Below are 21,686 nucleotides of genomic sequence, written 5' to 3'. Positions count from 1 at the left end.
ATCTTAAATTAAAACCAGCAGTGGATAATTTCTTCCCGTCTCCACAAAGCAAGGCTCCTCTTTCTCTAAAGCCATTAGTTCACTTAGCCAGATGTTTTCTTCGACCCCGATCTTTACCTTGACTTACTGAAAAATACGTCTCTCAAGTTGCTCACAGTTTGAATTTTGGACCTGCCTCTTGGCACTTTTTTTCCCTGTTGAAGAGAAGTCATCTGTATCCAGGTTCAGAAGCATTGATTTATTAGCCAGCTCTCTCCATTTCATTAACATTTATTGAGCACCAACCCTATGCCCAGCCTTGTGCTGGGTAGACCGTCCTACTTGAGTGAGATTCGGGAGCTTTGGTTGAGCCTCCTGTGTGCCTGGATTTGCCCGGGATGCTGTGCTCAGTTCTCTTGTTAGTGCTCACAGCATCCAAAGACATTAGTGTCTTCTTTTTACAAATGAGGAAACTGAGGCCTAGTGAGGGGAAGTGACCTACCCAAGCTCACACAGACAGTAGGTGGTAGAGCTAGGACTAGAGCCCAGGTCTGGGATTTTGCCAATTTCAGCCTGTAAGCCTGCCCTGCTGCCCACCCCCGCCCCATAGTGCCCGAACTGCACCAGCTCCGGGAGGCTGGCCAGGGCCTCCTTGTCGTAGGGTGTTAGATATGCACGCCTGTATCTATCCGTGAGTTTGGGAGTCACTGAGAGCATCCAGAAATCCCAGCACGTGCCAGGCCAGGCACAGGCAGGGAGTGTGCTGAAGGGCCAGCGGGCACCCCTTGCTCTAGAGAGCTCATACCAAGGGCGCCTCCACCCCATAGCTCGTTCAGCCTCCTTGGGCCAAGGGCAGAGCTTGTGGCCTTGTTTAGGCACCTCACATCATCCTTGAGCCACCCTTGGGACCTTGTCTTACCCCATCCAACTGTACGGAGCCCTCCGCTCCAGCACCCTCCTCTCATGGCCATTGCTTCCACAGTAGCTTGAGACCCCTCTGGCCAGGGCCCCACCAGCCTCCCCCCAACCCCATTTCTCACCCTTGCTTAGCTGTGCCCACTGGGCCAGCCTTCCCTGTACCCGCAGAGTCCTACACAAATCTGTTGACAGACTGCTACTCCCCAGCAGGGATCTGGTGAGGTCCTGCTCATCCTTCAAGCCCCAACCAAACCTCCCCTTGCTCAGAGGTCTGCTGTGACCCACGCCACACAGTTACATCTCCACTGCAGCTCTGTGTCATGGTCCTCTCTTCTTCCCCAAAAGCAGAATTTGTCTTGTTTACCTTTCTGTCTTTCTTCTTGGAACCTAGTGCAGTGTCAGATATATTGTAGGCATTTAGTAAATATTTGTAGAATAAATGAATGAATGGATTTGTCAAAATGCCTTGTAATCTAAAAACCCTCTCACCTAACAAGCCTCTGATTTTGCACCAGAAAGTGGTAGCACGGGCAATGCCTGCTCCCTCCCTGCCTTTCCCACCCTTGGCTCCACCCCATACCACGATGAGCCTCAACACACCCTAACGCAAATATGCAAGCTTTGGCCATTTACCCTGAAAGCAGCCACCTTTTGCCTAAGTCTTACTCAGGCCTAAGTGTCGTCTGATAGGCTTAGAACCATTTGAGGGGAGTTTTAGGGTCCTAAATACCCAGGATATAATGTAGAGTGGTAGGCATAGGGCAGAGGTAAAGATTAATTAGATGAGATATCTCTCGCAGGGCTCTTAGGTCCATGAGGAAGCCAGAAATATTCACAACTCTAATGAAGGGTAGAAAGTGCTATATTAGGGCCAGGCACAGTAACTCATGCCTGTAATCCCAGCACTTTGAGAGACCGAGGCGGGTGGATCACATGAGGTCAGGAGTTCGAGACCAGCCTGACCAACATGGTGAAACACCGTTTCTACTAAAAATACAAAAAAAAAAAATAGCCAGATTTGGTGGCAGGCGCCTCTAGTCCCAACCACTTGGGAGGCTGAGGCAGGAGAATCACTTGAACCCGGGGGGCAGAGGTTGCAATGAGCCGAGATTACACCACTGCACTCCAGCCTGGGCGACAGAGTGAGACTCTGTCCAAAAAAAAAAAAAAAAGTGCTACATTAGGAATAATACTAAAGCCTTCCACCTAGTATTCATCCATTTGTTTATTCCAAAAAAATTGTTCTGAGTGCCTGCTATATGCCAGACATGGTTTTCAGTGCTTACTATGGTGGTGAACAAAGGCTACAACATCTCCCTGCTTATGAACTTACATAGAGGAGAAAGACAGTGAACATGTGAACATGTAACTCAGTAACTTCAGCCAGGTCAGAGCCACTGAAAAAAATAATAAAACAAATAATGTGATACAAAGTGATGGGGGCAGGGTGACAGCATTGGGTAGGGTAGGATTCCAGTTACTATTGCTGCATAAGAAACCACCTCAATATGTATCAAGGCCAGGCTTGGTGGCTCACACCTATAATCCCAACACTTTGGGAGGCCAAGGTAGGAGGATCACTTGAGCCCAGGAGTTTGACACCAGTCTAGGCAACATAGCAAGACCCCATCTCTACAGAAATTTAAAAAATTAGCCAGGGATGGAGGTGTGCGCCAGTGGCCCCAGCTACTAAGGAGGCTGAGGTGGGAGGATTGCATGAGCCCAGGAGGTTGAGGCTGCAGTGAGTTATGTTTGCACTGCTGCACTCCAGCCTGGGCAATGGAGCAAGATCCTGACTCAGTAAAACTAAAAAAAGTTTTTAAAAAATGTGTATTGAAAAATCACTATGTCCCCCACAAATATGTACAATTATTACATGTCCATTTTGAAAAGTAAAATTAAATTTTTAAAAAACTACCTCACATTTAGTGGCATAAAATACTATTTTGCTCATGAATTCTGTGGCGCAAGAAGTCAGACAGGATCAACTAGTCTCTGCTCCACGGTGTCTGGGGCCTCAGCTGGGAGACTTGAAAGCTGGGGATGACTTGATAGCCAAGAACTGGAATCATCTGGAAGCATCTTTGCTCACAGCTGGTGGTGGTGGTTGGCTGTCAGCCAGGACACTATGGGCAGCCTCTTTATGTGGTCTTTCCACATGGGCTGGTAGGAGCTTCCGCACATCATGGCCGCTGGGTCCTAAGACGACAGAATCCCATGCTTGGCAGTTTGACAGTCTAGCCTGAGAAGTCACCTCCACCAATGAGGGGGGTAACAGAGGTCTGCCCGGGGTAAGGGGAGGAAGCCCCAGTGAGAGGGAGGAAGTACCACATGAAGGTCTAGGGAAGGTCCTCTGTCCAAGCAGAAGGGGGACAAGTGTGGTAGGAACTGTTAGGAGTTTGGGGATGGGCCAGGATGCCTGGAGGATCAGGAGCGAGGGACACAGACTGGAGATGAGGCAACGAGGCGGGCCGGGGCTGGGTCAGGCAGGGTCATATCGTCTCGAGAAAGGGGTTTGGATTTTATTCTGTTACCTGGGAAGCCGTGGGCTATTTTCACCAGGGATTGACATGTTCCAGTGGACATTTTAATTTAAAAAGCGCTTCTGGCTGCTGAGTAGAGAGGCAGAGTGGCTTAAGCAGGGAAACCACTGCAGTGGCCTGGGTCAGAGCGGTTGGTGGCTTCGTTCAGGGTGACAGTGGGAGAAGTGGTCGTTGAACTCACAGTGTATTTTGAAAACAGTTGACGGGAGCAGCCAGTGGATGAGATATGAGAGGTACAGGGAGAAGAGAGTCAAAACTGATGATTGGGTTTCCCCGGAGTTTCTAGGGGCTCTGCTGCTGTGGCTGAGATGGGGAAGGCTAGGGGGAGGACAGACTGGGTGTGGGGGTGGACACGGAGGTACAGGACTCAGGTGTCTGTTCGTCTGAGTTCTGTTTGAAATGATAAGCAGCCATCGAAATGGAGATGGTGCACAAGCTTAGAAGTCTGTAGTCAAACCCGGGGGAAAATGTGAGGGTTTCTACATGGCGTCTAGATGGCTTTGGAAGCCAGATATTTTAATATTCACTCATTTCGTAAAGATTTCACAAGCACCCACCCTATGCTGTGCCTTGCTTGGAGCTCACAATTAGGAGAGGTATGGCCTTATTTCGGGCCCTCAAGGAGCATCAGAAATCGATCTGCCTGGCTTTGAACCCTGGATCCATCACTTACTATGTGACCTTGAGCAAGTAATTCTGCTTCTCTGGGCCTCTGTGTACTCCTGCATGAGGTGGGGCTGGTAACAGTGCTTATTTGACAGAGATGATGCAGAGGCCAACGAGATGAGCTTTGTAAAACACATACCATAGTACCTAGCACAGGGCAAGGTCTCAACAGATGCGAATGAGCTAATTAACATTTATTCCTAGTGTGCAAAGCCAGAACACAGTTTAGGGAAAATGGATATACCTGGAGCTGGTGAAGGTGCAGGGGGCGAGCCTGGGCCTGGGCCGTGTGGGAAGCCCTTTGCCTGGGCCCTGCTCCTCATTCCTGCCAGATGAGCTGCTGCCCACGGTCCGCTCCCCACCTGCCAAATGCTCTCCCAGCCTCTTGCGCTGGTTCTTGTACTTACTGTCTGTTGACTGAGGGGTCATGTGACATCGCGACTTCAATTTGAGCTCTGCTGTGTTCTTATTTTGTAACTTGGGACACATCATCTCATTTCTCAGAGTCGGAGTTTTGGTCTCTGTGAAATGGGGTCGGTCCCTGTCTGTTAGGATCAGTTGAGGAGATGGATGTGCAAGTGGCACTTGAGGCTGCCAAGTGGAGGGGTAGAAAAGGAGGAGTAGGAGGGGCCCTCGGGGGACTCCCGATGGGGCCTGGAGCCCAGCTGCACCCTGGGGGAGGAAGTCACCGGCGAGTGCCCAGATGCTCCGTGCAGGCGCCGCGCTCCAGCTCTCCCTCCGCTGGGCTGATGAAAGGGCCTGCGCCATCGCGGCCTTTTAAAGGAGGCCCTCTTGTCCTGGAAGACAGCTGGAGACAACATGTGGCTCCCTGGAACCCCTAACGAAGGCTCGAGTTGCTGCTGTTTATTTGTCTTTATACTTCAACAGCTCAAATACATTTCTTGCTGGAAAAAAAAATGCTGATCATCTTAATGTAAAACTAAACAGCTTTGGACAGTCATATACTTACTCCATAAACACCAATATTTTCTAAAGTAAACTCAAGAGGTTTCTTCCTGGTCTCTTTCGTTATGCCCACCTACTACCCCACCACCTTTTCCCATTCTTGGCCCACTTTCAGGTGCTCTAAACACGCTCAGTTGGAGGGATTTGCTGTCAGAGTACAAGACAGATCCAGGCCCGCCTCTCCTCTCCGCCTTCTACAGCTGTTAATCTGAAAGAAATTATTTGGCCTGAGAGAAAGAGACTCCCTGGACAGTGTTGTACATCTTTATAGACTCGCTTCCTTCTTTTCCCAAATCGCTACAAAAAAGGGGAGACCCTCGAGTGGGGTGTAGGGAGGCAGACTGGTTCAGACCTTTGTGTGTTTCGGGGTGGAGTGGCCTTTGACAGCCTCATGCCCATGGCCTGCTTGGGATTGGGTGGGGGGACTGTGGGGTGTTTATTACAGGGGGCCAGATGGTTCTTCCTGCCAGCCCCCTTCTGGCCCAGCAATCAGGGCAGAATCAGTGGCCCACAGAGCAGAAGTCAGGCTCCTTAGGCCACTGACTTGCTGGGAGACCTTGGGAAATGCCCTGCCTCTTTATGCCTCAGTTTCCCTGTCATATGTGAAATAAAAAGATGGGATTTGATCAGTGGTTTTCAGATGCTGTGGGGTTTATAGCAGCAGAAATCTTTTTTCCGAAGCGGAATCATGCAGGGGCCTCACGCTGTGGCTGAACGGGAGACAAGACTGGCCACAGTTAGAGCTCTGCTCCCCATGGAACCTGTCTCTACCTCTGCAAAGTTCCTGGAGCCTCTGGACCTCAGTTTGGAACCCCCTGGCTGGGCTGCTGGGTCAGAGCCCTTCTCCTTCCAGCATCCCGTGACCTGGCAGTGCGGTCGTGTGATTGGCCCCAGGGACAGTGGCAGCTCAGCTCTTTTCCGTGTCCTCCTTGTCCCAGCAGGATGCAGTCGTTGTCTGCGCAGCTCTCCTTGTTTCTCAGAACTGTAATCTCCAGCATGGCGAACACTTTTCCTCTCCATAACCATCCCGCCCTTTCCTCCTCCAGGGTGTCCATACACCTGCTGTTCTGCACTGAGCGCCCTTCCCCAGCCTCCTGATGAACGCTTAGTTTGGCTGGCCCCTACTTGTTCCTCAGGGCTCACTCAGGTGAGGCGTCAACCCCTAGAGAAGACCTCTCTGAGCTGTACAGCCTCCCCTAGGCTTCCCTCTGACATGGCCCTGAGCTCCTGGGACTGGCACTCAGGCATCTCAGGGGAGATCTCTCTTCCTTCCTTGGGAATTCCTCGAGTGCTGAGCTCTGGATTGGCCAAGCTCTTTATCCAAGGCCTGCAAAGGCCAGGCCCACAGCAGGCTCGTTTGTGTGGTGGAGGATGGGCGGGTGGCAGGGTAACGGGGTAGAATGTTGGATTCTGACCCTCAGGAGGCAAACGACTTGACGGTGGCAGGTGCACAGACCTGCCGTGGGGGTCATCAGCACACTTGGAGCTGGGTAGAAGCGCTGGGAAAGTCTCCCTGTCTCCCTCGGCCAGCGATGGCCTGTGACTCCCCAGTCCACTTCTCCGTGCCTGGCTCCTTCTGGTCTCTGCTCTAGACACAGGGAGAGCATGGACTTGGGCATCAGACACGTTGGCCTTGACTCCCACTCCCTTCCTAGCTCTCTGCTCTCGGTTTTCTTTCCTGGAAAGGGGCATGCTGGTGTTCCCAGGACAGGGCTCTGGGGATACAGAGAAGGGTGTACGTGAAGGAAGGTGGCACATGGTGGGCCTCAGGACCCTTCACCTGCTCGTCCCTTCCCACTCTCCCTGTGCTTGTACATTCAGGTCAGGGATTGCATCCCTGTATGAGGCCACCTTCCCCTTGGTAGGAGTGTGTGTTCGTGATCCCATCCTCCCTCCACTGGATTGAAATCTGTTGTCACTGTGCCTGGTGCCACCCTACCTTTGTAGGTCTCAATTTGGTGGCTTGAGGAAGAAGCCCCGCTCTGTCTCAGAGCAGAGAATACCGAGTCCATAAACAGCAAAGAAAACACTCGCTGCAGACACTTGCCTTCCTCTGTTCCTGTTTGCAGTCCCTGTGCCAAGAGCTTGGTCAGAACTCCAGAAAATAAAAAATAAATAAATAAATAAGTGTCTTGTGAAGGCTCCTTAAAAATACCCTGCCAGCAAAACATATGCCCCCAAACCAGACACGGAGCCGTGGCCCTAAAAGGGGACATTAGCAACAATTAAGGGCATCTCAACCCAGTCCAGTACTGCGTCTGTCAATAGTCTCGCTTACCTTGGAGCACCCTGGGCCCTGGGTGGCGTTTGGGGTCGCCCTGGACGTTTGCTGGGCCTGGCTGCATCGGGGCAGATGCTGCAGTGACCCTCCTCCCCCAGCACCGGGACAGGTTCCAGCTGTTTATAGTGGCCATTAGCCAGGCCTGTGCATCAGGCTGCCCTGGCACCCCTCCCTGTCACCCACCTCATCCCAACCACATACAGCTAGAAATAGACTGCTGGCAGAGACGCCCTGTGCCTGGCTGGCACTCTTTATTTGTGGGAAGTGGGCAGCCATGGCAGCAGCCCAGCTGCTTGGCCTGGGGTCTTTAGTAACCTCCCAGGTGCTACTTTAATGATGGGGAGAGGATCCCACAGGCTTGCCCTCCCCTGGCTCATCTGCTGACCGCCAGGGGGTCAGACACCAGTGGAGTCATTTGGGACCCACCCGTGGTGGAGGCCCTGCCGAGTGGGACCCTCCCCAGGGCCTGTGTTGCCATTGTGGGGGTCTGGCTTCCTTGGCCTGGCAGCTGGCCCTGCTGACACTCCAGCCTTTCTGTTTCTCCCTGTGCTCCCAGCAAACTAAATATTAAGCCTGTCCCCCGGCTCCTCATGCCCTCTGGGCCTCTGCACACACCATTCCCCTACCTGGAGAACCTCCTCCCGGCCTGTCCCGGACACCCCAGCTCTTCCGCCTGAGCCTCTTCCCCAGCCCCCCGGGCAGAGGGACCTGCTCCCTGCATTCTGCTCCCTTGCCCTCCCTGCCAACTCTCAGGCCTGCCAGAATCAGACCAAGCTGCAAATGTCTGTTTACTTATCCATCAGCCACACGTGCAATAATTATACAGAAACACTCAGAGAAATCCAGAGAAAAGACAAAATCATTCCCCCATTTCTCACCCCTCCAATAGAGCAAGCGTTTTCATGTCCTGATGTCCGTGTCCAGTGTCACCTGGGCGTGGACAGAACTGTGTGTGGTGGCAGTCACCCATTGAGGTTTATGTGCCGCTTCTCCTCCGTATTCCGGCAGGACTCTCTTCACTGTTGATGCAGAATCACGTCGCCAAGATGGAATGGAATGAAAGCCCGGGACAGTGCGGGCAGTGGGGGTGATTATTGGGTTGGGACAGCAAGAATGCCCCAATGCTCTTCTGTCAGGACATGCCCCGGGTGCCCATATCTGCAGGTGAGGGGCCTCTGAGATTAGTTAGACTCACTCTTGCCCTCAGGGAGCTCCCAGGCCATGTGCAGAAATACTCCCACTATGGTGTCCTTTGTGTAATTAATACTAGGGGTGTGCAAAGGGATGGTGTGGGGTGGGTGACTCGCCCTACCTGGAGTGAGTGGAGGGTCCCCTGCGGGGGGTGGAGATGGGGTGAAGGGAGGACATTTTAGGAGGGAGGAGCAGCATGTGCAGAGCCTGGAGATGGGAAGGGCTCGGCCAGGGAGCAGAGTGGGTTCAGGGCAGGTAGTGGTGGTAAAAAGGCAGTCTCTGTCAAATGAGCCATATATACCATGTGCTCTCCTGGTCTTAGACCCAGAGATTACACACACACACAGACACACACACACACGACCAACCGCACTTCTCACCACCAAATGCACCTTTCTCTGCACTGGTCCTCGTGGCTTAGAGAGACGCTCTCTGCCTGGGTTCAGCCTGCCTGTTCCTGCTTCTCACAGCACACTCTTCTTGTCCTGCAGGGCTCTGACCCCACTATGGTTAATAGACACTGGTCTCCCAGTGTCCTCACCACCTCTCTTTCCTAGAATGGCAGCTCCCTGAGGGCAGGCCTTGGCCTCGTCTTTCCCTGTTTACCCATGCACCAGTGTGGTGCCTTGCACCCCTGCCAAGTGACTGAGTGAACAAATACATGTGACTAATCACAGAAGTTCGCTGGAGATGGATGTGGCCAATAGAAAAGACGGTGGCAGATGAGGCCACCGCAAGTGCAGATGCTGTACGGCAGGAGAGTCAGTCAGTTGTATGCAGGTTAACAGGGGTCTTCAGGGAGTCATGAGAAACAAAAGCTCACAGTCGTTGACCCAGGAATCCCACTTCTGGGGAGCTCTCTGAAGGCAATAATCCCTTAAATGAAAAGGGCCGTAGCTGCCCAGCTGCGTCCTTCACGGGGGAGTTTATTAACAACTGCACGAGGGCATGGAAGAGGAGCCCACTGTGGACTGCACAAAGCAGCGAGTCAGAAGTGGAGGCAGGGCCAAGCCACAGCACTGAAGGCGCTTTAGCTCAGCTCGCCGTGGCTGTGCACAGATCAACTCATTACATTTAGGAGAAAATCAGCTCATGCAAAAAGACGGAAACAAAATAGATGCTCCTGACTGTGGTTCTGTCTAAACTGTAGGATTGTTGATCAGCTTTTCCACTGTTTCTCAGAATTCCTTATCGGCTCAGAATCTTAAATAATAAAACAGTTGTATTGGTCAAGTGATAGGAAGCCATGCTAGGTTTTTGAGAGGAGGAGAACTACAGACAGAATGTGGCCACAAACTCAGAGACAGGTTGGCTGTGGGGAGGCCTGCGAGCGTGCCAGTGCCTCAGCCAAGCGAGTGCCCCCTTTTCCGTGAAGCTTCCTGGCACCCCCACCCAGCCCTCTGCCACTGCCTTCTGTGGCCTGCCATCTGCCTTTCTCCGGTATGTCAGCTCTGATGAGACAAAACTATTCCTTAGTCCTGGTTGTTGCCACCAGGCCCACCCCGGGGCCTGACAGGGAGGGACTGCTGAGTGCAGGAAGGAACAAGCCCACATGTGGCAGGCCCAGCTGGGGAGCCAATGCAGGGCATGGATGGGGCAGGAGGCCAAGCGGCTGGGATCAGGGTATGGCCACAGGCCTGGCGTGTGCCAAGGACGCTCACGCTCAAGGATACCTGGTAGGTGAGGACAGGTGTACACATGGAGGGTGCTAGCAAGGAGGAGGAAGAGAAGGAACAGCCGCACAGCCGCCTGGCAATTTCACATAGCTTTGGAGGGTGGAAGAAAATGCGGACTTCCACGGGAAAGAATTAGTCCCTGAAGGTTAGAATTCCGACGGTACCGAGGCTGGGAAATGGATGCTGGGAATCAATCAGCTGACTTGGCTGGAGTCTGGCAGGATGAACTGGCCAGAGGACCTGTGTCACCTGGGGTGTCGTGGGAGCTCCGGGGCCCCTCCTTGGTTCGGGGAAGTTTGGTTTTGTTTTTCAACAGGAGTGGGACTTGCCCTGCCGCCCCATCCACCGGCCTGGAGGTAATCACATGCAGCTGGGCCTGGGTAGGCGCAGAGGCGCTTCATTAAGCGTCCCGTGGGAGCGTTTCCTCCTTCTTTCCTTACAGCTTCTCGCTTTGGTTCCATGATTTGTTTGTTTGGTTTTCCTCCTTCCCTCTCTCCAGTCCTCCATTCTTATCCCCATCAAAAGAAATTTTTAAAAACTCCAGTGCCTCCTACAGATGTCCAGCCAGGATCACATTCACAGCTGCACTGTCAGAGGCCTGAGGGGATGAAAGCACCCCGTTCCCAGCCTGGCTCTGTCACTCACTTGCTGGGGACTGTGGGCAGGCTGCACACTGCTTGGAGCTCCCATTTACAAAACAGCTACTGCCCTGGGCTGAGGTTAACTGAGATAACTGTAACAAAGAGTGCCTGACTCTGAGCAGGGGCCCCAGCCGCCCCCTGCCCTGCCTGTGATCTAGAAGTTCAAGGAGGAACTGGCCTTGCCATAGGTGGTCTAGCAAAGTGAGTGAAATGTAGTTCGGTAGGGGATCCCACTGTGTCTCCAGACCGCTTCCCTCTCCACTCACTTCCTGAAACTCTGCCCAGCTCAAGCAGCTTCTTTAGTGGGAGACTTTGGTCCTCATGTCAGTAAAGGTGCCGACAAAGCAGGAGGAGACGCTGAGCTGCACCCCTCTTCTGAGGCCCCCCAACATGGATCCCGTCATGCACTGAGCACCAAAGCCACAGGCTGGCAATGACTGTGAGGGTACCTGGTTCCCCATCGCGATCTCCGCACAAGCTCCCCACTCTCGGGCAAGGCTAAGGCGGCAGATGAGCACAGCTCTTCTCTGAGAGCCTTCTCTGGCATCTCCTGATGTCAGCCCCTGACCCACCCACACACCCACGGCCCACTGGTAGCCAGCACATGCTCCTGTCACTCATCCAGAGCTGCTTCCTTGAGCAGGTCCTGGGGCTGCAGGGCCTCATGGCAGCCCCTCTGCAGCCACACTTTGCAGCATACGGCAGCGAAGGCCATGCAGCTCATCCTTGGTGGGACGGCCTTTAGCCAGGGCCTGTGGATGTCCAGGCCAGAAGCGCCGTTCCCCACCCACACTTTTGGAAGTGCTCAGTCCGTTATCCAGTCCGCAGACATACATCATGTGCCCCGTGCACTGTTCAAAACCCTGGGATACTGTGATGCTCAAAACAGACAGGGTCCCTGTTCTCAGGGGCTCTGTGTTGCCTGGGGGTAGACAGAAACAGTCACAAGGAAGATTCCAGGTGGGTGGGGGCGTGCTCTGAAGGAAGCAGGGGAGGGACACGTTGCAGAATGGCCTGTCTGCCACTTTAGCTTAGTGGTCAGAGAGAGCATCTCTGGGAAAGCGGCACGTGAGCTGAGGTCTGAAGGAGAAGGAGGAGGCAGCCGTGCCAAGACAAGCAAAGAACATTCCAGGCAGAGGAGCAAATGCCAAGGCCTGGAGATGGGAACAGGACAGCTGGGGTCAAGGGAGAGCAGGACACAGCAGCCTGGCTGGAGGCGGGTGAGCGAGGAGGAGCCCGGGGGGACGTGGGCAGAGCAGTTCCTGTGGGCTTGGTGGCCGGGAAAGGGAGTTCATGTTTATGACACCTTTGTGGGCTTTCAGGCAGGGGGATGGCATGAGGTCCATGAGGGATGGAGGATGGACAGAGGCAGGATGGAGGCAGGGAGTTCGAGAATCCAGGCCAGAGACGAGGGCGACTGGCCCAGCCGTGGCAGCCCTGGAGGGGAGCGAATGTGTTGTACTCGTGGTGAATTTCACAGGCAGAATTGAAAGGACTGGACCTGCTAAGGGCTTCAATGTGGGGAGAAAGCAGCATCAAAAATAACTACCAGGTGTTTTGCCTGAAGCAACTGTGGGTTGTGTGACCATTTGCTGAGCTGGGGAAGGCTGAGGGCAGACTGAGCTTTGTCTCATTCTATTCTGCTTTTGTGGGAGGGGGACTTGGGAGTTCAGCACGCGGCCCATGAAGTCTGTCACGCCCGCAGGATGTCCACGTGCAGGCACCAGGTCAGCTCTTGATGTCTAAGTTGGAGGGTGGTGGAGCTGGCAGGCCTGGGGGTTTGGGGGCAACCTTGGCAGATAGGTAGCCAAGGGACAGTGCGAAATCTCCCAGGAACAAAATGTAGATGGGGTGGGGGCGAGGGAAGAGCCTGAGAGAAGCCCAGGCCCCACTGACCTGCACTGAACTCCTGAGTACCTAGTGCTGCCTGAGGCTGCTTGAAAGGAGGTGGTGTCCACAGAATAGGAAAAAGTATTTGCCAATCATATATCTGGTAAGGGTCTAGTATCCAGGATGTATAAAGAACTCTTACAACTCAAGACATCCCAGTTTAAAAATAGGCAAAGGACCTGAATAGACATATCTCCAAAGAGATGGAGACGCCACGCCCACCTGGAGTCTTTGTGACTGTTTCTGTCTCCCCACAGACAGCATAGAGCCCGTGAGAACAGGGACCGTGTCTGTCTTGAGCGTCGCTGTATCCCAGGGCCATACAAATGGCCACTAAGCATGTGAAAAGCTGTTCAACATCATTAGTCATTAGAAAAATGAAAATCAAAACCATAATGAGAAACCACGCCACACCCACTAGGATGGCTGTTAAAAAAAAAAAAAAGCCCAGAAAGGAACAAGTGTTGGCGAGGATATGGAGAAATTAGAAACCCCATACTTTGCTGGTTGGAAATGTAAAACGGTGTCGCCCGTGGTAAACAGTCATTTCCTCAAAAAGGGCACACATGGAGTTACCAGATGATGTGACAGTGCCACCCCCAGGTATCCACCCAGGAGAGCTGAAGGCGTATACCCCCACGAAAACTTACACACAGTGTTCAGCAGCACCGTTCATAACAGCCACAAAGCCAGCACAACCCGGATGTCCATCAGCTCACGAAGAGATACATGAAATGTGGTCTGTCCATGCAATAGAATACTGTTCAGCCGTAAAAGGGAATGAAGTGCTGAGTCACGCTACGACATGGATGCAGCTTGAAAACATGCTAAGTGAAGGAAGCCAGACACACAAAGACAAATATCGCATGACTCTCTTTACATGAAATGTCCAGAATGGGCAAACCATAGATGGAAAGTAGACATGTGGTTTCCAGGGGCGAAGGGGTAGGAATTGGGACTAACCGAAAACGGGCACAGGTCCTCTTTCTGGCATGATGGAAATATTCTGGAATTAGTAGTGATGGTCGTGCAACACGGTGAATATACTAAAAACCACTAAGATGTCGGCTTAAAGATTGTGAATTGTGTGCTCCATGAGTTCTATCTCAACCAGAAACGGGATTGGAGAAATAGCAGAGGTCACACGAACATAGCATCAAAAGTCCCACCCACATCCTCCAAGCAGACCATGTGCACAGCTCTGTCCACTTCTGGGCCAATTGTGAGTGCCCCAGTAAGCTGGGATCCCCAGAGAAGGGCGACCTGGGTGGTGAGTGTGCCAGAAGCTTATTCAGGAGGGAACAGTGTCAGGAGCCGAGCGGCTTCACTTGGAGACCAGAAGGCTGAGGCGGGTCTGAGTGCTCCCCTCTGATGTGGTTTGTTGTTGCTTTTGCATTTTGGAAGGGACTTTGCTGTCACTGGAGTACGTTCGTACCCGTGATTCCCTGAGGCCATGAGCAGCGGCTTCGTGCTGCACCTGCTCACACTCGGTGGTGGTCTGTGTGTGCCAGGCGCTGTGCAGAGTACATTACCTCCATCACCTCCTTTGACTCCCAAACACCTCAGGGACTTTTATCCCTGTTTTATAGAGAAGGAAACCAAGGCCCAAAATGGTGAAATGACCTGCTCAAGGTCACAGAGCAAGTGACCAGCAAAGACTCACTGAATCTTTTTTCTTTTTTTTTTTTTTGAGACGGAGTCTCGCTGTGTCGCCCCAGGCCAGAGTGCAGTGGTGCGGTCTGGCTCACTGCAAGCTCCGCCTCCCGGGTTCACACCATGCTCCTGCCTCAGCCTCCCAAGCAGCTGGGACTACAGGCACCCGCCACCATGCCCGGCTAATTTTTTGTATTTTTAGTAGAGACAGGGTTTCACCGTGTTAGCCAGGATGGTCTTGATCTCCTGACCTTGTGATCCGCCCGCCTCAGCCTCCCAAAGTGCTGGGATTACAGGCGTGAGCCACCAAGCCCAGTCGACTCACTGAATCTTGTACTCCATCTGGTATGACTTGTAGAGCAACAGCCAGGTCCCATGGGCAGTGGTCACAGGGCAGCATCACGCAGACCCCTTTGAGGACTGGCCAGCGGTCTGCACTGGGCGGTAGACTCCCGTCCTTCCCTAGAGATGCACAGCAGGGGGCGGCAGGGCAGCGGCTGGGCTGGAAGGCAGGACTCAGGTTGCGGAGAGCAGAGTGAGCAGACCCCAGCGGCCAGCAGGCTTCACCACCTCTGCCTTCCCTGGGCTGGCTTGCTGGGTTTGGACGTGAGCAGTGAGCTTGCTGGTCTGGAAAGCTGACCTTACCATTCATGCGCCTCATCTCCCACCCTGAGCTTGGACTCAGGCCCAGGCCAAGAGGTTGGCTCTGTGTCTTCTGCACACGGCCAACCTGCTGGGGAATCAGGAGCCCCAGGGAAGACCTCAGCTGATGCCCAGACCAGGAAGCAGACAGGTCCTGGGAGACCCCAGGCATACCTCCTGCCGCCTGTGCCAGCAGCTCTTGACAGCTCGGAGAGTGTTCTGGATCTGGCAGAACCCAGGCCCCAAAGCTCTAAGACCCGTGTGTATTTTACCCAAAATCTAATCCATCTGGTTCTCATTTATTTACACTTAACTCATCAAATGCAATTTTGCAAGAGCCGCTAGATAGCCAAGAGGCTTTTCTGCCTAAGCCGCCCTTCTGAAAGGAGCCGGCAGGCGGTGGGGGCCTCAGCCCCCTGGGACCAGGTGGGAGCTCTCCGTGCTGGAGGTGGAGTTCGCTTCCTAAGATGGGCTGGGCACCTCTGCCTCTGTTTCTAGACCTTCCGTGGGAGCTGGGACACCGGAGCCAGTGGAGGGCCTGACACACAGTAGGCTCTTGACAGCCATGAAAACATGGGTGGGTCCAAGCAGAACACGGAGTCTCTGTTTCAAATCGGGAAATATTTGCGGGAAACACAAAGCAGCCAGAGCTGGATCCAGAAGTAATTTTTAGTTGTTATAAATAACTGTGAACCTGGACTCTTGGTCCAAAGTAGAACAAACAGCCAGCTATTAATAAAAACAAACATCAGCATCTTGGGCCAAGAAGCACACCTCCCGGGGAAACTGGTCCTGCCTGCAGAGGCCTTTCGGAAGCGGGTCAACCTATGGCCTGCTGATGTCAGCTCTGGAAATTCTTCTTGCTGGAAAACAACCATGTCAATCACAGCACAGGGGTCCCCTCCCACACATCACCCTTCAGTGGCTGGCAGCAGGTGGAGGTGGCCTGCGCCTGTGAGGACCGAGTGGAGATGGGCAAGAGTCACAGCTGAGGGCCGTCCGCCGCCACCCCGGCCTCCAGAGCTGTGCTCATGCTGGGTACTGCACAGTGAGGAGGTGGGACCTGACCCCAGAGACCCTGTGGGACCAAGGTGCCATGTCCTGTTCCAGCCAGACTCATCACAGCAGCCACTGCCCATGGAGAAGGGATTGGGAGGGAGAGGCTGGAGGCTGAGACCCAGGAGAAGTGTGCAGCCTACCCCAAAGAGGAAGCTGAGGTCCAAGCCAGGGCTGTCTCATGGGAGCCAGGGAGATGGACGGGCAAGGTGGCGTGGAAAAAGTCAGCAGCCTTGGTCAGACCCTTGGGAGAGGGGCAGAAGAAAGGGGCTTCGAGAACAACAGGGTCCTCAGGCCTGGTGGCTGGGTGGGACGAGGGCCAGACCCTGACCAGTGAGGCCCCTCTTTTGTGCTCCAAATGCTCAGCCTTTCTTGACTCCTGTCCTTCCCTTCTCCCACCTCTGACCTCCCCCAGCTCTGCGGGCTGAAGGAATGGGAGTTCACAGCTCACGGGGAGCAGCCTTCAAGGACCTTCAGGCTCCCTGTCTTTTGTCCCATACCTCACTGGAGTGGTCTTTTTCCGAGGGGGTCTCCCAGCCCCACCTGCTGAAGGCCCCTGTGGCACGGCCCACCAAGGTTCCACCTTCTCTTCCTCCCAGCTCCCTTGCCTGCCATTTCAGCCTTGGCCCGGAAGAGGGAAGGGCTCCGGCGGTTCGATGGCACAATCACAGATACAGTTGTACATCAAAAGAGGCTGTGGACCAGTGCCTTCCAGCCTCAACCACGCCGGTCCAGACAGCTGTGAAAGGCTCCTCCCAGGACCGGGCATGGAGGGCCCGCTCTCCACTCTACCTCCCCCGTCTCTCTCACCAGTTGAAAGGATTTCCTGAAAGGAGCCTCCTAGAGTCTGCCCCAGAGCCCAGGGGACCTCCTGTCTCTTTGTAGCTAAGTCCCTGTGCTGTGCTGAGGAGCTCCGTGCCTTCTGGGAACATTTAGCTGTGGTCATAAATAAAGATGAAGGACCATGAGCTGCCAGCAGGATTCAGAGGCGGGACACTCCCCCTACCCCTCCTAGAGCCGCCCAGGGATTCTGGACCCCGGATTGGAAACAGGCCCACTCAGGGGCCTCACTACACGCAGGCTCAGCCCTGGCCCAAGGCCTCAGTGGTTTGGGACACTCTGCGTGTCAGGCTGCACAAATGTTTTCTGCAGGGACTGTCCCCCTGCTAGTTGGACTGATGTGGGGACCCGAACAGAGCTGGGGTTTTTGAGCGCTGTGTGGGGTCGCCAGGGTAGGGTGCAGGCCACAGAGCAGCCTCGCTCACTCTACATGCCCACGGCCTGGCTCTGCTGTTCCTCTTAGCCCAGCATCCAGGACCCTGTCAGCCACCTTTCCCTGGTTGCTTCCAGAACTCTCCTCCTGTTAGAGAGGCTGCAGGCCCTTCCCTGTCTGGGCCCTGCCCTGCCCCTTCCATGAGCCTTTGCTTTCAGAACACCTCCGCCTCCTCCAGGATCCCCAGGCTCAGGTCACACCTCTCTGCTGTCCTCAAAGCAGCTTGTACTTCGCCTCTTCCAGGAAGCCTCCCATCTCTGTGCTCTGGCCCAGTGCCCTGGAGCTTGGTGTCCCTGGCAGCTCAGGGGTAGTGTGGCACAGAGTAGGTGCTTGGTGTTCACGGAGTGAGTGAATGAACAGAGGCGTTTCAGGTGGATTCAGAAGGCAAGAAAAACTTCGGTCTGGACAAGGAGGGGAGGCAGTTCCAGGAGGAGGGTGGCATGCACACTCGGGCAGAGGTGAATGGGTGGGCTGTGTTCAGAGAGCAGCCGCAGCGGATTCCTAGAGCATGGCTGAAGAAGTGGGCAGGCTATGAGAGCCCACTCACAGCTGAAGCCCCCCTCGTGCCCAGTGGGAATAAGGACAGCACTCTGCCCCCTGGGACTGGTCCCTTGGCGGTAGTGAGCTCCCTGGCACTGGTGTGTGCAAGCACAAACTGTGCCATCCCATTTACCCTCCTGTCACTTGAGTAATCACTCTTGGCCTGACCCGCTGCTAGGAGCAAGGATATAAAGGAGACTCAGATCTGTCCTCACCCCAGGGCGGGGACAGGATAGGCAAGCCCTCTGGTCCAGGGCAGAGGAAGGAAGTAGTGAAGGAAGGCAGGCCTGGCCTGGAAGCCGGGGTGGAGTGAATTATGCTGGGCACCAGAAAGACTACACGGAGGAGGAGGCTGAGCACTGGGCTTTGGAGAGGTGGGCATGGAGGGGCCAGGGAGGTTTGTAAGCATCAGCACCTGGGAACCTTCGTCACTACCGCCATCGGACTTGAAGGGTCGTCATTCACAGCTGAATCCTGCGGGAGGAGAGGGAGGGCTTTGGATTCATGGGGCTTCCAGTTCTCTTTCTGCCTCTTTTAGAGCTTTGAGGAAATCTCTCTCCATCTCCAGGCCCCAGTTTTCTCACCTGAGAATCAGGGATAATAAGAATAATGCCCCCGGTGTGGAGCTGTTGTGTGGATTTATTAAGATAATGCCTGAGCTGGGGCCTCGCTGGCAGCAATTGCCGTTATTTATGGTAGTGAGGCTGGCAACCCCGCCCAGCCTCAACGCTCACCTCTGTGTGAGGGCTTGGGGGTGGGCTGGGATTCTCACACGGGGCCAGCCACACAGGACCCATCCATGCACTGACAGTCAGTTCCACGGGGCAGAGAAGGAGGAGGGCTGCACACACCACAGGCATTCCAGGAGGACTTCCTGGAGGACGCAGTCTGCAATCCCTCAAGCTCTGGGAGCACTTCCCAGGGATAAGGCCTGGGCATCGCCCACAGGCTACAGGGCAAGACAGGGGCAGAACTCAGGGAGCCTGACTCCCAGGTGTGGGTTCCCCTTTTCCATGAGGACACCTCTCATAATAGAGTGTGCCAAATGCTGGGGGACCATGGGGCGGTGTGTGCTGGGCTCACAGCACCTCTTGGAGAGGGCCAAAGTACTGTTTCTCATAGTGCCCTGCCAGGCCTGGCCAGGGCCTCCAAGTGAGCCCAGTCTGTCCTGGGCTCATGGGCGGCATCTCACAGACCCAGCTGCTGCAGTTGGATGCTCTTCAGACCTCAGTGTGGGGCCCACTTGAAGTGCTGGAGACACAGGGGTGCAAGAGGCGTGTGTGGGGCCTCAGGCCCTTCCCTAGAGATGCTGGTCATGGCCTCAAGCCACCCAAGAGATTTGGCAGCCATGATTTCCTCCCCTCCTCGGGGGCCGGGGGTGAGGCCTGTTTGGACCGCAGTGGGAAAAGGGTGCAGAGGGGCAGCCCCCTCTTCCCACCTGCTTCATCTCAGGACTTTATCACTTGGGAGTGGGGACAAGACATGTTTACATGGCCCTGCATTTGTTTCCCATTATTCATCAGCACTGGCGAGTCATTGTTCCCTAGTAGAGTAAACAGCCCTGTCCCAAGGCCCAGCCGCCCTGCCAGGTCACTGAGGGTTTGTAGATGCCTTACGTCAACCGCCCTTTGCTTCAAGCTTTCAGTGAGGTGAGGAGTGGCCAGGCCAGATGGCTGCAGATGGGCGGCGCCAGGGAGCTTCCTCGTGACAGGGATGAGGTAGCATTTCTGCACTGGGAACTCAGCATTTGAGAGTCTGTGTCTGTTTGGTTTGCTTTACAGTCGGACCTTTAATAGGGCTGGGGAAGCCAAGGCGCAGAGCAGGGAATCTGAGAACCATGAGAAGGAAGGTAACAACCGTGACATGAGAGGGGTCCGAACTGAGTCCCAGGGACAGCTGCCCATGTCCAGGTCCCATTGTTAAGTGTATGCCAGCACAGTTCTCTACAGGGTCTTATAGGCCCAGAGATGGGACTAACCCCAGGAATGCTGGGTCCTTCCCGATGCTCCTCACGGCAAGCTGCATCTGGGGCTGACGTGCACGTGCTCAAGTTGACACTGGACTCCAGCTCGTGTGAGGAGCAGCCGGCTCTTCGCAGCATTGGTCTGAGCACATGCGCTGACGCAGCCAGCTTAGCCTGGGGCCAAAGGCGCGTGTTCTGCAGCCAGACCGCAGGGCTGGGTCCCGCCTTCACTCTGGTGTGCTGTGTCACTCTACTCAAGCTACTCCAGCTCCCGGAGCCTCCGTGTCCTCATCTGTAAAATGGGGTCAATAACATGACCTGTCACCCAGGTAGCTGTGAGGATCGCGTGGGCCTGCGCCTAACACATAATAAACACTCACAGATGTTTGCTTTGTGTTGTTAGCAGGATGAGTAGGACACGGGGCCTGGCTTGGTGCTTTTCATGGTCCAGTGCAGGCTGGAGACAGACCCCAGGGGCAGACATGGCTGAGGCTTGGAGGGGAGGGAGGCGACCACTCGCCACCCCTAGGGGCTGCGCCCAGCAAAGGTGGCATGGGCACTGGGCCCCTAGGGGGTCCTAAGCAAGGCTTTGTTGAATGGAGAAAGGTGCTGAGGATAGTCCCTCTCCCTCCTCCCCAGGCTTCCCCAGTCAGAATGGTGCGATCACCTGGCTCCTCTCAGCGAGGGCCACTTCTACCATTTTAGCTGTAACCACTGGCGGCTTTTAGAGTTCAGAGCTCTGCCTGCCTCCTCTGACTGCCCACACGGCTGACATTTGAGCTTGCCAAAGAATAATGGCCTCGCTGTCGGCCTCAAAGGCAGCCGTGTGGTGTCTTAGGTGGTAAAGTGGTCTGTCGTCCATGAGTCTAAATAGGACCTGGCTCAAATCGCTCCACAGCCAAGTCCTCTCCCAGTTCAGTGCAGGTCACCAACTCTTTACCTTTTCACATCCTTTTGGTTCCAATAGTAAAAGATGTCTATGTTAAAAAGAAGTGTATCAAAAGCTCAACACCGAAGAGTGTGTGTGTGTGTGTGTGTGTGTGTGTGTGTGTGTGTGTTAGGGACCGGGGATTGGCTAGAAGCAGCCAGTAGCTCACGCCGCCTTTGTGGTTTTATATATTTGCCTATTAAAATGACAATACAGACATGGAACATTAAGGTTTAAGAAGCCCTTCTTTCATTAAACAAACTGACAGAGCAGGGGGTTATGACTCTGGTAATTGAAACACGCTGTTGTGCTCAAGACCAGAACTCCATAAAGACTGTTTTCAGCCAATAGCGCCCTTTGTGCCAGCGGCCTCTGGTCAGAAATGAGTGTCGGCCCTGAGGTCTGCCTCTCCCCGAGAGTGGGAAAGACCACTTGGCAGCCTTCCACAGCCATCTTGGCAGCCGGAGGTCAGGGCCTTTTCTTAATAAAAACCTCCTCATTCTCGGAGTTTTTGAAATCAGTTGCAGGGCACAGAGCCTTGGGGCACTGTGCTGTGCTCCAGCCTGTTATCGTGTTGTGCTGCTGATGGTAAACCTGAGCTGAGTCAAGAGACGGGGCTCGTGGGGTTGCAGCTGGCAAAGCTCCATGTGTTGGGGACAGCTGCTGCAGGCTGCTGTGTCTTCCTAGAGTGGGGGGTCTGGCGACGTCACTGAGAGCTGAGGTTTCAGGGTCAGACCACCGGGTTTGAATCCTGCCTCTGCCACTTACCATACGTAGGACTTTAGACAAGTGACTTTGCCCCTCCGCACCTAAGTTTCCTCATCTATAAAATGGACTGGTACCTGGATCTGACTTACAGGGTTGCTGTGAGAATTAAAGG

At 54.3% G+C, this 21,686-nt stretch overlaps 1 protein-coding gene across 1 annotated transcript in view, besides 6 other annotated features; it reads left to right on the top strand.

The window, feature by feature from the left end:
* Positions 1-21,686, top strand: part of SCUBE1 (signal peptide, CUB domain and EGF like domain containing 1) — a 146,093-nt gene that overhangs the window by 29,880 nt on the left and 94,527 nt on the right. The window lies entirely within an intron of this gene.
* Positions 211-790: an enhancer, noted in NCBI's record as "H3K27ac-H3K4me1 hESC enhancer chr22:43708709-43709288 (GRCh37/hg19 assembly coordinates)". NCBI's record gives its function as "activates a minimal SCP1, AML or CMV promoter by ChIP-STARR-seq in primed H9 embryonic stem cells {active_cell/tissue: H9 hESC(primed)}" and the evidence as "EXISTENCE:reporter gene assay evidence [ECO:0000049][PMID:30033119]".
* Positions 791-1,371: an enhancer, noted in NCBI's record as "H3K27ac-H3K4me1 hESC enhancer chr22:43708128-43708708 (GRCh37/hg19 assembly coordinates)". NCBI's record gives its function as "activates a minimal SCP1, AML or CMV promoter by ChIP-STARR-seq in primed H9 embryonic stem cells {active_cell/tissue: H9 hESC(primed)}" and the evidence as "EXISTENCE:reporter gene assay evidence [ECO:0000049][PMID:30033119]".
* Positions 12,055-12,554: an enhancer, noted in NCBI's record as "H3K4me1 hESC enhancer chr22:43696945-43697444 (GRCh37/hg19 assembly coordinates)". NCBI's record gives its function as "activates a minimal SCP1, AML or CMV promoter by ChIP-STARR-seq in naive H9 embryonic stem cells {active_cell/tissue: H9 hESC(naive)}" and the evidence as "EXISTENCE:reporter gene assay evidence [ECO:0000049][PMID:30033119]".
* Positions 12,555-13,056: an enhancer, noted in NCBI's record as "H3K4me1 hESC enhancer chr22:43696443-43696944 (GRCh37/hg19 assembly coordinates)". NCBI's record gives its function as "activates a minimal SCP1, AML or CMV promoter by ChIP-STARR-seq in naive H9 embryonic stem cells {active_cell/tissue: H9 hESC(naive)}" and the evidence as "EXISTENCE:reporter gene assay evidence [ECO:0000049][PMID:30033119]".
* Positions 19,456-19,750: an enhancer, noted in NCBI's record as "tiled region #12495; HepG2 Activating DNase unmatched - State 4:PromP, and K562 Activating DNase matched - State 5:Enh". NCBI's record gives its function as "activates a minimal TATA promoter and a strong SV40 promoter by Sharpr-MPRA in HepG2 and K562 cells {active_cell/tissue: HepG2 | K562}" and the evidence as "EXISTENCE:reporter gene assay evidence [ECO:0000049][PMID:27701403]".
* Positions 19,811-20,328: an enhancer, noted in NCBI's record as "H3K4me1 hESC enhancer chr22:43689171-43689688 (GRCh37/hg19 assembly coordinates)". NCBI's record gives its function as "activates a minimal SCP1, AML or CMV promoter by ChIP-STARR-seq in naive H9 embryonic stem cells {active_cell/tissue: H9 hESC(naive)}" and the evidence as "EXISTENCE:reporter gene assay evidence [ECO:0000049][PMID:30033119]".

The sequence above is a fragment of the Homo sapiens genome, chromosome 22 (assembly GCF_000001405.40).
Source record: "Homo sapiens chromosome 22, GRCh38.p14 Primary Assembly".
In the NCBI taxonomy this organism is placed as follows: domain Eukaryota; kingdom Metazoa; phylum Chordata; class Mammalia; order Primates; family Hominidae; genus Homo; species Homo sapiens.
This window is presented reverse-complemented; position numbering and strand designations above follow the sequence as displayed.